This window comes from Homo sapiens, chromosome 6, assembly GCF_000001405.40.
Source record: "Homo sapiens chromosome 6, GRCh38.p14 Primary Assembly".
In the NCBI taxonomy this organism is placed as follows: Eukaryota; Metazoa; Chordata; class Mammalia; order Primates; family Hominidae; genus Homo; species Homo sapiens.
Window position 1 is genome coordinate 89,816,725 of NC_000006.12, and position 15,905 is coordinate 89,832,629.

Sequence of the window (15,905 nt, forward strand, 5' to 3'; positions counted from 1 at the left end):
AGTGCAGTGGTGCGATCTCAGCTCACTGCAAGTTCCACCTCCCGGGTTCACGCCATTCTCCTGCCTCAGCCACCTGAGTAGCTGGGACTACAGGTGCCCGCCACCATGCCCAGCTAATTTTTCATATTTTTAGTAAAGACAGGGTTTCACCATGTTAGCCAGAATGATGTCGATCTCCTGAGCTTGTGATCCACCCGCCTCAGCCTCCCAAAGTGCTGGGATTACAGGCGCGTGCCACTGTGCCCAGCCTCCACACCCCTATCTTAACCTAGACACTCCATTCTACTGATTCCAGGGATTTAAATGAACTCTCACCCAATTGCCAGTCAGCAAATCTTTGAATCCACCTGTGACTTGGAAGACCGCCCCCCTCACCCTTCGAGTTGTCCCAGCTTTCCAGACCAAATCAATGTACATCTTACATGTACTGAGTGATGGCTTAGGTCTCCCTAAAATGTATAAAACCAAGCTGTAGCCCGACCACCTTGGGCACATTTTCTCAGGATCTCCTGGGGCTGTGTCATGAGCCATGGTCACTCACATTTAGCTCAGAATAAATCTCTTAGAATATTTTAGAGTTTGACACTTTTCATTGACAAAAGTATCACAATTTGGGAGTACCTTAATCTGTTAATACAGTCAATAAACATTTACTGCCTACTGCATATCAGACACTGTATTGGACACTACAGCTACACAATCCCCTTCTCTGGACATACTCTCAATCAACTACTGAGAATCAGTTAGTTGAAACAAAGATTAAGAGGAAGAGGAAAGGGTAAAGTCAGAAAAGTCTTCCTGGGGAAGACCATTTCAAAAGCAGTCTTCCAGAACAAACAAGTTAACTGAGCAGGGCATAGAAGAGAGATGTAGCCTTCTAAGGAAAGGAAATGCAAAGTCAATGAGGCAAGTAACAGCAAGGAATGGCCCAGACAATAACAACAGACATTAACAACGGGAGGTGACTCCAGTCAACAATAGTAGAGGGTAACAACCTGTGGTCATTGCAGGCAGTTTAGTGTTGCTGAAATAGCAAGCCCTGAGCAGAAAGTAAACAACCAGTCTGGGGCAGGGTTTCTTTCTTAATTTTGCACCACTGCCATTTACGACGGATAACTGTTGTAAGGGGTTGTCCCATACATAACAGAATGCTTAGCAGCGTCCCTGGCCTTGATGCACTAGATGCTAGTAGCACCCCCATAATGAATAGTTGTGATAACCATAAAGGTCTCCAGATTTGTCCCTGGGAGCAAAATTGGCCCCACTCCCCAGAACAATTGGGCTTGAGATACATCAAAAAAAATACTTCAGGGCAGGGCGCTGTGGCTCATGCCTGTAATCCCAGCACTTTAGGAGGCCAAGGCGGGTGGATCACCTGAGATCAGGGGTTTGAGACCAGCCTGACCCACACAGTGAAACCCTGTCTCTACTAAAAATACAAAATATTAGCCAGGCATGGTGGCGCACGCCTGTAATCCCAGTTACTCGGGAGGTTGAGACAGAAGAATCGCTTGAACTCGAGAGGCGGAGGTTGCAGTGAGCTGAGAGGGTGGGCCATTGCACTCCAGTCTGGACGACAGAGCGTGCCTCCGTCTCAAAAAAAAAAAAAAAAAAAAAAAAAAATTTAGGCCGGACACGGTGGCTCACTCCTACAATCCCTGCACTTTGGGAGGCCAAGGCGGGATGATCACTTGAGCCCAGGGGTTCCAGACCAGTCGGGGCAACAAAGGGGGACCTTACAACTACAAAAAAAAAATTTTTTTTTTAATTAGCCACACCTGGGACCCAAGTACCTGGGACCACACTCACCTGTCCCGTGGCTCACGCCTGTAATCCCAGCACTTTGGGAGGCTGAGGCGGGTGGATCACGAGGTCAAGAGATCGAGACCATCCTGGCCAACATGGTGAAACCCCGTCTCTACTAAAAATACAAAAAGTAGCTAGGCATGGTGGCGCTCGCCTGTAATCCCAGCTACTGAGAGGGTGAGGCAGGAGAATCGCCTGAACCCGGGAGGCGGAGGGTGCAGTAAGCCGAGATCGCGCCACTGCACTCCAGCCTGGCGACACAGCGAGACTCCGTCTCAAAAAAAAAAAAAAAGTGTCTTCAACTCAGATAGAAGGAGTCAATGAGAAGGTTCTTAAAAGCCCGAAGACCTATTTCCCAGAAAACTCTAATTAACCTTATAATTTGTATAGTTAGTTACAGTGAGTATGAGCTGTCTTGCTCTGTACTTCAGCTGTTGTAAGTGTTTACGAACTGTCTCCAAAAACAGATGCAAATTTCCCTCATGGCAGAGATCGTAACGAATTTATCTATCCACTTTCTCACAGCGCCACACCGTTCCTTACGCACAGCAGGAATGCAATCAGTATTTGTCGATGGTTCCCCAAACTAACAGGAGTGGCTGCACTACGCACACTTAGGTGATACGTACACTTGTCAAAACGGCAGAAACGCAACCTCAATTTCAGAAAAACAAACCACATTCCTTTGGGAAGGCCACCTCTGCCACAAGCAGCCAAAGCGCTTGCATAGGGGTGAGAGGCGATGGGAAGGGTACTGGAAGGCTCCCCCAGATAAAAACAAAAGACTCCTTCCAATCGCCTCAAACACGCTCGGAAACCTCCACGACCTGCGCCAGCCCACAGGAGGGGGCCAGCTTGACCTGAGGCTGCACCACTCCCCACTTAAAGCGGCGAGTATCGGCGGGGGAGCGCAGGAAGCTTACTAGTGGGGCGACCCAGTCGTTCCGGCGCTTTCCCTCTCCCTTCACGTCTTACCTGCTTGGCCAAGAACCTGCCCAACTCACTGCGGCTCTTCTCGTTCTTGGCTGCGATTAACCGCAGCGGCGCGGCTGCCACCTCCAGCAAGAAGTGCTCCATGACCCAGGGCCCTCACCCCGAGCGGCCACCTGCGCTCCCTACTTCGCGGCCAGCGTCCCCAAGCCGCCGAGGTCCCAGTGCCCGAGCAGCCAGCAACTACGCCCGCAGGAAAGGCGTCCTCAGCTCCAGCGCCTACACCGGGAGAGGGGCACCACACGTGGGTGAGCACACGGCGTTTGACGTCATCAGCTCGGGACGGCTACGCTGCGCCCTCCCGGCCTCAGCCCCTCAGCGGCGGAAACGCCAGTCTTCGCTGTCCCGCCTTTTCCGGGAGGGAAATGGAAACAAAAATCTAGTCGGTTTGGATGCAGGAGTGATGGGGACTCGCGAACACAGCACGTGGTGGGACAGAAAGAAGAGTGCGTTAGGCCGGGGAGGAAAGAGGGGGCGTGTGAGTCTCAGCCCACCGTGCCTTGCTTCTGCCTTAACACACGGAAAGATCAGATGTGAGAGAAAAGCTGATTCTCGGCCGGGCGCGGTGGCGCATGTCTTTATCCCAGCATTTTGGGAGGCCGAGGAGGGCAGATCACTTGAGGTTAGCAGTTCGAGACCAGCCTGGGCAACATGGTGAAACCCCCTTCTCTACTAAAAATACAAAAATTAGCCGGGCGTGGTGGCGCGCGCCTGTAGTCCCAGCTACTCGGGAGGCTGAGGCAGGAGAATCGCTTGAACCCGGGAGACGGAGGTTACAGTAAGCCGAGATCGTGCAGCTGCACTCCAGCCGCGCGACACAGCAGACTTTTACTGTCTCAAAAAAAGAAAGAAAAGCTGATTCTCCCCTTCTTGTTAGCGGTGGCAGTTACCCCCTGTATAGGTAGGGGTCAGCAGTAACCTTAGTTCTTGCCTCCTCAGAAGAAATAATTCCACGAAGGGCATAAGGCAGGATAGACCTAGACAAGTTTCAGAATAGAAGTAAAAGTTTATCAAAAAGCTTTAGAACGGGACGGAAAGAAAAGGAGGAAAGTACAACTTGGAAGACTGCCAAGCAGGCGACTTGAGAAACCAAGTGCGCAGCTTGACCTGTTGACTTGAAGTTTTATATGTTGGCATACTTTGGGGAACTTGCATTGCTTCTCCCCACTCCTGAGATCTTACTGGGAAGCTACTGATCAGTTTCAGGTGTTTTCTATTAGGAGACTGCCTTTCGCTGGCCCCGGTGAACGTTAGAGAAACAGTTAAGAACCGCCTGACCATCGTTTGATTGTCACCCAATAGTCCTGGTATGTGTGGGGTGGGGAGCGCTCTCCTGTTCTGCTCATACCTAACTAGTTAACATTCTGCCCCAGCAATTCCCCTTGTAGGACTCTAGCCTGCGGAAATCCTCACTAAGTGTGACAAAGACACCCCTTGCAGTTTTCTTAATACAGATATTGGAAGAAAATGTTCAATTGGGAATATTAAACTATGGGGTGTAAGTTATAGCATATTCTGGAAGTCATAAAAAATAGTAGAGTCCATAACATTAAAAGTGCACTTGTGGGCTGGGCGCAGTGGCTCAAGGCAAGGCAGGCAGATCACGAGATAAGGAGTTGGAGACCAGTCTGGCCAACATGGTGAAACCCTGTCTCTACTAAAAATACAAAAATTAGGGCTGGGTGCCTTGGCTCACGCCTGTAATCCCAGCACTTTGGGAGGCCGAGGCGGGCAGATCACCTGAGGTCAGCAGTTTGAGACCAGCCTGACCAACATGGTAAAACCCTGTCTCTACTAAAAATACAAAAATTAGCCAGGTGTGGTGGTGCATGCCTGTAATCCCAGCTACTCAGGAGGCTGAAGCAGGAGAATCGCTTGAACTCAGGAGACGGAGGTTGTGGTGAGCCGAGATCGTGGGATTGCACTCCAGCCTAGGCAACAAGAGCGAAACTCCGTCTTTTTTTTTTTTTTTTAAGTGGGGCCAGGCGTGGTGGCTCACGCCTGTAATCCCAGCACTTTGGGAGGCCAAGGCGGGCAGATCACCCGAGGTCGGGAGTTTGAGACCAGTCTGGCCAACATGGTGAAACCTTGTCTCTACTAAAAATACAAAAAGCTGGGCATAGTGGTGGGCGCCTGTAATCCCACCTACTCAGGAGGCTGAGGCAGGAGAATAGCTCGAGCCCGGGAGGCGGAGGTTGCAGTGAGCGGACATCGTGCCAGTGCACTCCAGCCTGGGCGACAAGAGCGAAACTCTGTCTCAAAAAAAAGAAAAAGACAAAAAAAAAAATGTAGTTATGTAGTGATAATGCACCCTGGCAACTATTCTCAGGAATCTGTTGAAAGAGATGCGCCCTGAAAAAGGAGGATAAAACCAAGAAAGAAGACGACACGGGATCCAGGAAATAAGAGATTTAGCACAGAAAGAAAAAGTAAAATAACCCTGTCGATCGTAATCCTAATCCACGGGATTATTTTACTTTTAAGTGTTTAAAGTTAAGGGAAATCCCGGAACTTTCATCTGGGCAGCAGCAGGAAGATGAACAGCTCTAGGGTGATTAAATTAATAGAACAGGTTAGTGGTTGCCTGAGTTTGGGATTAGAAGAGAAGACAATGTAAACAGCCAGGAGGCAAAATTTGGGGGTAATAAAAATCTAAGACTGGGCAGGGCACAGTGGCTCAAGCCTGTAATCTCAGCACTTTGGGAGGCTGAGTCGGGTGGATCACAAGGTCAGGAGTTCAAGACCAGCCTGGCCAAGATGGTGAAACCCCATCTCTACTAAAAATACAAAAATTGGCCGGGCACGGTGGCTCACACCTGTAATCCCAGCACTTTGGCAGGCCAAGGCGGGCAGATCACCTGAGGTCAGGAGTTCGAGACCAGCCTGGCCAACATGGTGAAACCCCATCTCTACTAAAAATACAAAAATTAGCCGGGCGTGGTGGCACGTGCCTGTAGTCCCAGCTATTTGGGAGGCTGAGGCAGGAGAATCACTTGAACCCAGGAGGCAGAGGTTGCGGTGAGCCAAGATCGTGCCACTGCACTCCCACCTGGGCAACAGAGTGAGACTCCGTCTCAAAAACAACAACAACAACAAAAATATATATATATATATAAATTAGCCAGGTGCAGTGGCAAGCGCCTGTAATCCTAGCTACTCGGGAGGCTGAGGCAGAAGAATCGCCTGAACCTGGGAGGTGGAGGTTGCAGTGAGTCGAGATCCCACCATCGCACTCCAGCCTGGGTGACAGAACGAGATTCTGTCTCAAAATAATAATTAAAAAAAATGATGATAAGGAAGGAATAGAGCATATATAGTATAGATGAAATAAGGTTGACAGTGTATTAGTAATTATTGAAACCAGATATTGGGTAATAGGAGTTTATTGTATTCTTCTTTTCTCTTCTTTCTTTTTTTTTTGGGACGGAGTCTCGCTTTGTCACCCAGACTAGAGTGCAGTGACACAATCTCAGCTCACTGCAACCTCCACCTCCTGGGTTCAAGCGATTCTCCTGCCTCAACCTCCCGAGTAGCTGGGAGTACAGGCACGCTCCACCACACACCCGGCTAATTTTTTCTTTTGTATTTTAAGTAGAGACAGGGTTTCACCACGTTGGCCAGGCTTGTCTCGAACTCCTGACCTCAGGTAATCCACCCGCCTCGACCTCCCAAAGTGCTGGGATTACAGAGGTAAGCCACCGCGCCTAGCCTATTGTACTCTTCTTTTACTTTTGTGTATGTTTGAAATTTTGCACTAAAAAAATAGTATCTTTGATCCTTTTATAGTTCATAAGCATGATGATTGGGTTTTTGCACACGTGTAATATGTGCCTCCCTCAAACCATGTTATGACCTCAGCATATTACCTGTCTGATATAAAAATATGTATATATTTTAGAAACAGGGTCTTATTCTCTCACCCAGGCTAGAGTGCACTGGTGCAATCATAGCTCAATGTAACCTTGAACCCCTGGGCCCAAGCAATCTTCCTGAGCAGCTAGGACTACAGGAACCTGCTACCACACCCAAATTTTTTTTTTTTTTTTTTTTTTTTTTTGAGTTAGAGTCTCACTCTGTCACCCAGGCTGGAGTGAAGTGGTATGATCTTGGCTTACTGCAACCTCTCCCTCCTGGATTCAAGCAATTCTCCTGCCTCATCCTCTGTAGTCTCTGGAGTAGCTGGGATTACAGGCGTGCACCACCACACCTGGCTAATTTTTTGTATTTTTTAGTAGAGACAGGGTTTCACCATGTTGGCCAGGCTGGTCTCAAACTCCTGACTTCAAGTAATCCTCCCACCTCGGACTCCCAAAGTGCACGGATTACAGGCATGCACCACCACACCCAGCTCTTCTTCTTTTTTTTTTTTTTTAGTAGACAAGGTCTCAGTATGTTGCCCAGGCTGGTCTCCCGCTCCTGGGCTCAAACAATCCTCCAGCCTTGGCCTCCCAAAGTGCTGGGATTATAGGCATGAGCCACTATGCCTGGTCTTAAATGTGTTAAGTTGTCTTAAGTCTTACGCTACTTTCTCTGCTGGTGGTGCCCACCCAACGGCCATTGGTGACCTCTGAAAATTAATATTTTTGAAAAAAATTATGAGTGTCATGTAAAGAGAACTTGGGTATCAACTTGTAGATGCTACCATTGACCAAAGATGATACAATCTGAGCTTTAATAAAGATAGCAGTTATAATGAATCAAAACCTATTAGTTTAACCCATTAATATAATACTAATAATTTTAAAAATTTGTTGCCTTTGGAGAGTAAGAAGTCAATCTTGAAAGCTGATAAAGGGAGAAATATAAAAATGTATCCTGCCTCTCATATGTGAATTGTACCACTGGGTAACTAAATAGAAGATGATGACAAGTGTCTCTTCCTGAGAATAGTCCACCTAATTTGAAAAAGAATTGCCAGTGTGGTGGCTCACGCCTGTAATCCCAGCACTTTGGGAGGCCGAGGAGGGCAGATCACGAGGTCAGGAGATCTAGACCATCCTGGCTAACACAGTGAAACCCCGTCTCTACTAAAAATACAAAAAATTAGCCGGGCGTGGTGGTGGGCGCCTGTAGTCCCTGCTACTTGGGAGGCTGAGGCAGGAGAATAGCATGAATCTGGGAGGCGGAGCTTGCACTGAGCAGAGATCGTGCCACTGCACTCCAGCCTGGGGAACAAAGCGAGACTGTCTCAAAAAAAAAAAAAAAAAAAAAAGAATTGACAAAATTAGAATACCACTATTTTGCAACTCCCAGTTAATCCATTAATCTTGGCATTAAGTATCAATGGCTGCTAACATAGCAAAAGGGGCAAAAAAAACCAGACTTTAGATAGCTCTTGCTGAAAGAACATAATGCTACCTATAGTCTTACCAAAAGGATCAAACCTCTGATCCAGCTGTCAATTTTTTTTTTTGGGGGGGGTGATGGAGCCTTGCTCTGTCACCTAGCCTGGAAGTACAGTGGCGCAATCTCAGCTCACTGTGACCTCCAACTCCTGGGTTCAAGCGATTCTCCTGCTTCGGCCTCCCAAGTAGCTGGGATTACAGGCTTCTACCACCACACCTGGCTAATTTTTGTATTTTTAGTAGAGACAGGGTTCCACCATGTTGGACCAGGCTGGTCTCAAACTCCTTGCCTCAAGTGATCCGCCAGCCTCAGCCTCCCAAAGTGCTGGGATTACAGGTGTGAGCCACTGTGCCTGGCCCCAGCTGTCGATTTTTTAAAATGAAGATGATAGAATATGTTAAGCTGCACCATGAATTTATAATCAGAAAAACTCAGACTGTGAAAGATTCTACAGATCAAAAACTCAGGTTTTTCAAGACATAAATTTAAGAAAAAAGTATGGGAGGGGAAACTGTGAATTATAAGAAATGGCAAAATGATTTAAATGTTTGTGAACCTCCAAAATTCGTATGTTGAAGTCTTAATACCCCAGTGTGATGGTATTTGGAAGTGAGACCTTTTGGAGGTAATTAGATTTAGATGAGGTTTTGAGGATAGAGTCCTCATAATAGGATTATTGCCCTTATAATGGGAGGGAAAGACTAGAGTCCCTTCTCTCTCTGCCAAGGGAGGATACACTAAGAAGGTGGCCATCTACAAGCCAGGAAGGGAGCCCTCACCAGACAATAAATCTGCTGGCTCCTTGATCTTGGATCTCCCAGCCTCTAGAACTGTAAGAAATTTTTGCTTGTTGATTAAGTTAAAGAGGTTCAGAACGTGCAACCCCGAAACAGACCATTTTGACATACTGATTATTTTGAAGTAAAGAAAAATCAGAACCAGCCAACTCAGTGAAACGTCTTTACCTCCCCAATTGCCTAAAATAAAGTATAAACTTACCCTTTTGCAAAGGAAATTTATACTCACAAAGGAAATTTCTGTTAGTAAAGCTATCTGTACCAGGAAGAGAGCTACTCCAAGACAACTTTTTTCACTTAACAGACTGTTATCTGTGTCAATAAATCCACTGAGAAAGTTTATGTTTTAAGCCTCAGCCTCCCGAGTACCTGGGATTACAGGCATGCGTCACCACACCCGGCAAATTTTGTATTTTTAGTAGAGACAGAGTTTCACCATGTTGTATTTTAGTCTCCACTAAAAATACAAAAATTAGCTGGGCATAGTGGTGCACGCCTGTAATCCTAGCTACTGAAGAGGCTGAGGCATAAGAATTGCTTGAACCTGGGAGGCAGACATTGCAGTGAGCTGAGATCATGCACTCCAGCCTGGGGACAGAGCCAGACTCCAGCTCAAAAAAAATGTTAGTTTTATTCAGTCTATAGTCGTACCGAGGACTATAGACTGAGGTCTACAGCCCAGGAGCTGTCCTTCAGAGTTCTGTCAGACTGCTGCAGCACAGTATTTCAGCCCACTGTTTATATACCTGTGGTGGAGGTTCAGTATGTGCAAAATCACATTAAAGTTTTGGTGCAGGAGTACATCTAGTTATAGATTTCAGAGGCATAATCACTAACCCTATCAGACGTTATCTCATGTGTAGGAAAAGGCACTATATTCCTCCTTTCCTTTCTTTTTTTTTTTTTTTTTGAGACGGAGTCTCGATTTGTTCCCCAGGCTGGAGTGCAGTGGTGCGATCTCGGCTCACTGCAAGCTCCCCTTCCCGGGTTCACGCCATTCTCCTGCCTCAGCCTCCCTAGTAGCTGGGACTACAGGCACCCGCCACCATGCCCAGCTAATTTTTTGTATTTTTTAGTAGAGACGGGGTTTCACCGTGTTAGCCAGGATGGTCTCGATCTCCTGACCTCGTGATCCGCCCTCCTCGGCCTCCCAAAGTGCTGGGATTACAGGCGTGAGCCACTGCGCACGTCCATATTCCTCCTTTAAGCAATATAGTGACTCAGGCAAGAGATGTTGGGGGCTGTGTGCACTATCCTGGTTTGCCTTCAAAGCATCTTTTCAGAGAGCTGCACTTCCTCACAGAGTGAGGGGCTTTGTGAAATTAGATGGCAAGCAGAAATGAGCAAAATGGCTTCTTACCCTTTTTACTTTGTCTCACAATAATTAGAGCACTATGTTTAAATGTCACTTCAAGGAATTATTTTCTCTATGGTTACATTTCTCTCTTTTTACAGTTTAACTTTTTCAAATAATTTTCCATTTTAGGATTTTTTTCTTTCTGATTTAACTCAGTCTTTGAATATGTGAAACAGTTACATGGTTCAAAAGTGAAAGGTTATAAAAATACAAACTCAAAAAGTAATTAATTAATTTAGTTTTTATTTTTCTCACCCTGTCTTATGGTGCTGAAAACTCAACAGTTTAATTGGGGCCAGGCACAGTGGCTCACATCTGTAATTCCAGTACCTTGGGAGGCCCAGGCATGAGGATTTCTTGAGCCCAGGGGTTCAAGGTTACAGTGAACTACGATTGTGCTACTGCACTCCAGCCTGGGTGACAGAGGCAGACTGTGTATCTAACACCCTCCCACACCCAACTTATTTGGGTGAATTATATAGTATGTAAATTATATCCCAGTAAAGCTCTTATTAAAAAAATTAAAGCCGGCCAGACACAGTGGCTCACGCCTGTAATCCCAGCACTTTGGGAGGCCGAGGCGGGCGGAATACCTGAGGTCAGGAGTTTGAGACCAGCCTGGCCAACACGGTGAAACCCCATCTCTACTAAAAATACAAAAAACATAGCCAGGCCTGGTGGCAGGTGCCTGTAATCCCAGCTACTTGGGAGGCTGAGGCAGGAGAATCACTTGAACCTGGGAGGTGGAGGTTGCAGTGAGCCGAGACCGCCCCATTGCACTCCAGCCTGGGCAACAAGAACAAAACTCCAACTCAAAAAAAAAAAAAAGTTAATTAATTAATTAATTAAAAAAAAGCCATGCATATGTGCAAATAAAAATACATAACTTAGGTGGAGTGGCTCATACCTGTAATACCAGCACTTTGGAAGGCAGAGGTCGGAGGATTGCTTGAGGTCAAGAGTTGGAGACGAGCCTGGGCAACAACATGGCGAGACCCTGTCTATATTAAAAAAAAAAAAAAAAAATGAAAGAAAGAAAGGCGAGTGTGGTGTTGTGTGCCTGTGGTCCCAGCTACCTGGGAGGCTGAGGTAGGAGCATTGCTTGAGCCTAGGAGTTTGAGGATGCAGTAAGCTATGATCACACCATTGCACTCCAGCTAGGACAACAGACTGAGACCTTGTCTCTAAAAAAATAATAAAAATAAAGCCAGGCGCGGTGGCTCACGCCTGTAATCCCAGCACTTTGGAAAGCCGAGGCGGGCAGATCACCTGAGGTCAGGAGTTTGAGACCAGCCTGCCCGACATGGCGAAACCCCATCTCTACTAAAAATGCAAAAAACTAGCCAGGCAGGCCCCTGTAATCCCAGCTATTTGGGAGGCTGAGGCAGGAAAATCGCATGAACCCCGGAGGCGGAGGTTGCAGTGAGCTGAGATCACACCACTGCACTCCAGCCTGGGTGACAAGAGTGAAACTCCGTCTCAAAAAAAAAAAAAAAAGAATAAAAATAAAAATAAATTGGTTGATATGGCAGTTAAGACTAAATGGGGTCAGGTGCAGTGACTCACACCTGTAATCCCAGCACTTTGGGAGACTGAGGTGGGAGGATTGTTTGAGCCCAGAAGTTCGTGACCAGCCTGGGCAACATAGCAAGACCCCATCTCTACAAAAATTTTAAAAAATTAGCCAGGGGTGGCCGGGCGTGGGTGGCTCACGCCTTTAATCCCAGCACTTTGGGAGGCCAAGCTGGGCAGATCACCTGAGGACAGGAGTTCAAGACCAGCCTGGTCAACATGGCGAAACCCTGTCTCTACTAAAAATACAAAAATTAGGTTGGCGTGGTAACACATGCCTGCAATCCCAGCTACTCGGGAGACTGAGGCAGGAGAATCACTTGAACCCCGGAGGCGGAGGTTGTAGTGGGTCGAGATCGCGCCATTGCACTCCAGCCTGGGCAACAAGAGTGAAACTCCATCTCAGAAACAAAACGAAACAAAACAGCCAGGGGTGGTGGTCGCTCGCGTCTATGGTCCCAGCTACTCTGGAGGCAGAGGTGGGAGGATCTCTCGAGCCTTGGAGGTGGAGGTTGCAGGGAGCCGAAATCGCTCCACTGCGCTCCAGCCTGAGCGACAAAGCGATACCCTGTCTGAAAGCAAAAAGAAAAAAAAAAGCTAAGTGGACAAACGAGGAAATGGGTAGGGATGAATATAGGCAGACTATAAGTAGCCGAGGAAGGTGGCCTTATTTTCGCACCTATCAATGCTCAGGCTGAGCTCCTGAGGCTAGACCTACCGGCACCCCCCATTCCTACAGGTTCTATAAGGCAAGTCAGGTATTCCACCCTGTAAAAAGCTCTTCTCTCTCCTGCCCCGCTAGACTAGTATCCCCTCCTTAAGGCTCCCAACATCCGAAGCTAAGTTGTTTGTCTGCCTATCATCCAGGAACGCGTCTGAGGGCAGGGAACAAATTTATTCATCGTAATCGAGCCCAGCACTTTGTCTCGCACGCAGCTGACAGCAGAATTTTAAGATAAAGTATTAAATAAATGACAGACCTCTCAAGGCTTCCTGTCTTTCACTAAAAAGCTTCTCTCAGGCCACGCCCCTACCTCCACTCAGGTCAGCCCCTTCCTATTGAAGCCCCGCCCCATCGCCTTCCCCGCCACCTTACACCCCGCCCCTCTCTCTTAAAGCCCTAGGAAGATTACTGGAGTTTGGCGCCAACCGTGTTTTTTTTTTTCCCTTCCAAAGGCGGGAACTAGTTGTGGGCGCTGCGACGTGCTTTGCGTCTGATATGATTGGCCGTAGGCACTCAGTCCCGCCTCCATACCCTGATAGCGCTCTGGTATTGGTGGAGATGCCAGGGAGACCTCGGTGGGCAGAAAGGAACCGGGTTGTCTTGGGCCGGGCAGGGCGGGTAAGTTGTCGTAGGGGCCCGGTCCGTGAGGGACTGCTAAGGAAGAGGCTGCATGGCGCGGTAGTCCCCCGAGTGGAGGTCGGCTGCCCCTGGGAAACCAGAGAGTCGGAGGGAGTCCATCTGGAGCGGCCAAGTAGGTCGGGGAAGGGCCGCGCCTGACGTCTGGCCGCAGGTAGCCACGTTCCCTCCGCCCCCGGTGCAGCTTCAGGGCTTGCACCCTGCGTCCCTCTGTGGTCCTTCGAGAGGGTCTGGGCGGGGACTATGGGTGGGCGCGCCCAGGAATTGTCCCTTCGGCCTCTCGTCCTGCCCCTCCCCCCCACCATCCAGTCTCTCCTTGGAATATACTCTTAAAATCTTTCGGATGGAGTTCTTTGGAGAAATGGGTTTCCTGGAGTGTCAGGTGATCATTGATGTTGATTGTTTCTGAAATGTTTATTTAGGCATCAAACCAACATGCCTAAATAAGTTTTTCATTTCTACAGCGCCTAGATTCATTCCTAGCACATAGTAGGCCCTAACTCAGATGTGAATGTAGGATTCGTAGGAGCTGAGCATTTGTGCTTCAGGCATCAAGTTGTCTTTGACTCTTCGACTCTTCCTTGGTCTTTTTCCATTCTCCACACCTCCAGCAGCAAACCTTTCGCCTCTCCTCAAGGCCTTTCCCCCCCATCTCCCTCAGCGCCTCTTTGACTGGAGGGGGACAGAGGCTTTCATGGCAGGGATTCTCCCATCTCCCTTCCTATCCCCGCTATGCCCTCCAATTATCTTTTCCTGGCGTTCCGTTTTACAAGAGATGGCCTTCTTTCCAAAAACATTTATATTGTATTGAATATTCTTGATTTTGGCCATCTTGCTTTACAGACAGACCTGGGGTCTAATTTCAGCTCTGCCACTTACCAGGTGGTTGCCTTGTGCAAATTTCTTGATCGTCTGTGTTTTCCTCATCTGTAAAATGGGGAAAAGAATAATATGGACCTCATAGAACTCTGGGGAGGATTTAAACTAAGTGAATAATGTATTTAGATCATTTAGGTTAGTGCCTGGAACATAGTAAATGTGCCGTATATGATAGCTTTTGTTAGTATTTGCCCCTTACCTCTTCTTCTGGGGTCTTGCTGTATTAGCCTTTCCCATGAGTGTAAAAATACACTGTCTTCTCTGGCTTTTTCCTGTTTTTCTCTACAAATGCTTGTGTTTTTCTCTAAATTTTATTTTTTGTCTTTTAGCGTCTACATTAAGGACACATTCTCAGTTTCGTAATGATTTTTCTTTTTCTTTTTTCCTTTTTTTTTGAGACTATAGCCCAGGCTGGAGTGCAATGGCAAGATCTCGGCTTACTACAGGTTTGACCTCCTGTGCTCAAGCAATCCTCCCACCTCAGCCTTCCAAGTAGCTGGAACTACAGGTGTGCACCAGCATGCCTGGCTAATTTTTGTATTTTGTAGAGACTGGGTTTTGCCATGTTTCCCAGGCTGGTCTCGAACTCCTAGGCTCAAGTGATCAGACTGCCCTCAGCCTCCCAAAGTACTGGGATTACAAGTGTGAGCCACCCCGCCCAGCCACATTCTCTCAATTTTAAAAAGAAAACTTCCTTCAGACTGCCTATAACGAAAGGCTATGTGATCCTTCTCCTGTCTACTTTGCTTTCACATCTGAATCCATTGGAATTGTCCCAGAAAAGATTATGCATGAGTAAATCTGCTTACAAACTTTTTTTTTTTTTTTTTGAGACGGAGTCTCGCTCTGTCACCCAGGCTGGAGTGCAGTGGCACGATCTCGGCTCACTGCAAGCTCCGCCTCCCGGGTTCATGTCATCCTCTTGCCACAGCCTCCCGAGTAGCTGGGACTACAGGCGCCTGCCACCACGCCTGGCTAATTTTTTGTATTTTTAGTAGAGACGGGTTTCACCCTGTTAGCTAGGATGGTCTAGATCTCCTGACCTTGTGATCCGCCCGCCTCAGCCTCCCAGAGTACTGAGATTACAGGCTTGAGCCACCACGCCCGGCCAAACATTTTTTTTTTAGACAGAGTCTTACTCTGTCACCCAGGCTGGAGTTGCAGTGGCACGATCTCAGATCACTGCAGCCTCCACCTCCCAGGTTCAAGCGATTCTCCTGCCTCGGCCTCCCCAGTAGCTGGGATTACAAGTGTGTGCCACCATGTCAGGCTAATTTTTGTATTTTTAGTATAGATGAGGTTTCACCATGTTGGCCAGGCTGGTTTTGAACTCCTGACTTCAGGTGATCCGCCTGCCTCGGCCTCCCAATACAAACTCTTTTTCAGCATGATAGTTCTCAACTTGGAAAATTTTGCCTCTACACTTTCACAGGTGCATCACTTCTGTCGGTAGCAACTCTCATATATCGAGATCCTCAAATGGGAGAAGGTGAGGAAAAGTGAAAAAGACCCATTTTCCAAGAGATTCTGATACATTTTTCTTCCTCCTCTCCTTCCTCTCCTTCCAGGAGAATCACTGGCCTATATGATTTCAAGAGTGTAATCTCACGTATCACTAAGGTGCTGATGAGTCCCAAATCATAATACCTACCATGCCTTTTCTGTATGACATTTCCAGCTGTTGGACATCTTTTTGTTTTTTGTTTTTTTCTCCCCTAGACGGAGTCTTGCTCTGTTTCCCAGGCTGGAATGCAGTGGCACGATCTCAGCTCACTGCAACCTCTGCCTCCCAGGTTCA

At 47.6% G+C, this 15,905-nt stretch overlaps 2 protein-coding genes and 1 non-coding gene across 5 annotated transcripts in view, besides 9 other annotated features; 2 read left to right on the forward strand and 1 right to left on the reverse strand.

Annotated features, from left to right (window-relative positions):
* MDN1 (midasin AAA ATPase 1) overlaps positions 1–3,070 on the reverse strand; it is a 177,297-nt gene extending 174,227 nt beyond the window's left edge. The window contains exon 1 of the mRNA NM_014611.3: positions 2,782–3,070. Coding sequence (NP_055426.1) covers positions 2,782–2,883 — 102 coding nt within the window. The 5' untranslated portion in view covers positions 2,884–3,070. The remainder of the gene's footprint in view (positions 1–2,781) is intronic.
* Positions 288–907: an enhancer, noted in NCBI's record as "OCT4-NANOG-H3K27ac hESC enhancer chr6:90526731-90527350 (GRCh37/hg19 assembly coordinates)". NCBI's record gives its function as "activates a minimal SCP1, AML or CMV promoter by ChIP-STARR-seq in naive H9 embryonic stem cells {active_cell/tissue: H9 hESC(naive)}" and the evidence as "EXISTENCE:reporter gene assay evidence [ECO:0000049][PMID:30033119]".
* Positions 908–1,527: an enhancer, noted in NCBI's record as "OCT4-NANOG-H3K27ac hESC enhancer chr6:90527351-90527970 (GRCh37/hg19 assembly coordinates)". NCBI's record gives its function as "activates a minimal SCP1, AML or CMV promoter by ChIP-STARR-seq in naive and primed H9 embryonic stem cells {active_cell/tissue: H9 hESC(naive and primed)}" and the evidence as "EXISTENCE:reporter gene assay evidence [ECO:0000049][PMID:30033119]".
* Positions 1,528–2,147: an enhancer, noted in NCBI's record as "H3K27ac hESC enhancer chr6:90527971-90528590 (GRCh37/hg19 assembly coordinates)". NCBI's record gives its function as "activates a minimal SCP1, AML or CMV promoter by ChIP-STARR-seq in primed H9 embryonic stem cells {active_cell/tissue: H9 hESC(primed)}" and the evidence as "EXISTENCE:reporter gene assay evidence [ECO:0000049][PMID:30033119]".
* Positions 2,724–3,113: an enhancer, noted in NCBI's record as "active region_24831". NCBI's record gives its function as "activates an Ori minimal core promoter by ATAC-STARR-seq in GM12878 lymphoblastoid cells {active_cell/tissue: GM12878}" and the evidence as "EXISTENCE:reporter gene assay evidence [ECO:0000049][PMID:35858748]".
* Positions 2,724–3,387: a biological region, named in NCBI's record as "NANOG-H3K27ac-H3K4me1 hESC enhancer GRCh37_chr6:90529211-90529830".
* Positions 2,768–3,387: an enhancer, noted in NCBI's record as "NANOG-H3K27ac-H3K4me1 hESC enhancer chr6:90529211-90529830 (GRCh37/hg19 assembly coordinates)". NCBI's record gives its function as "activates a minimal SCP1, AML or CMV promoter by ChIP-STARR-seq in naive H9 embryonic stem cells {active_cell/tissue: H9 hESC(naive)}" and the evidence as "EXISTENCE:reporter gene assay evidence [ECO:0000049][PMID:30033119]".
* Positions 3,388–4,007: an enhancer, noted in NCBI's record as "H3K27ac hESC enhancer chr6:90529831-90530450 (GRCh37/hg19 assembly coordinates)". NCBI's record gives its function as "activates a minimal SCP1, AML or CMV promoter by ChIP-STARR-seq in naive H9 embryonic stem cells {active_cell/tissue: H9 hESC(naive)}" and the evidence as "EXISTENCE:reporter gene assay evidence [ECO:0000049][PMID:30033119]".
* On the forward strand, positions 6,571–6,672 carry LOC124901536 (small nucleolar RNA U13). The gene has a single exon (XR_007059967.1). It is a non-coding gene; the product is annotated as a small nucleolar RNA U13 (small nucleolar RNA).
* Positions 12,506–12,555: a silencer, noted in NCBI's record as "silent region_17396". NCBI's record gives its function as "represses an Ori minimal core promoter by ATAC-STARR-seq in GM12878 lymphoblastoid cells {active_cell/tissue: GM12878}" and the evidence as "EXISTENCE:reporter gene assay evidence [ECO:0000049][PMID:35858748]".
* Positions 12,656–12,845: an enhancer, noted in NCBI's record as "active region_24832". NCBI's record gives its function as "activates an Ori minimal core promoter by ATAC-STARR-seq in GM12878 lymphoblastoid cells {active_cell/tissue: GM12878}" and the evidence as "EXISTENCE:reporter gene assay evidence [ECO:0000049][PMID:35858748]".
* Positions 13,156–15,905, forward strand: part of CASP8AP2 (caspase 8 associated protein 2) — a gene marked incomplete in the record, with an annotated part of 44,557 nt that continues 41,807 nt past the window's right edge. Inside the window, 1 exon segment of one of the 3 annotated variants that reach the window (NM_012115.4) lies at positions 13,156–13,382. 3 annotated transcript variants of the gene reach the window in all.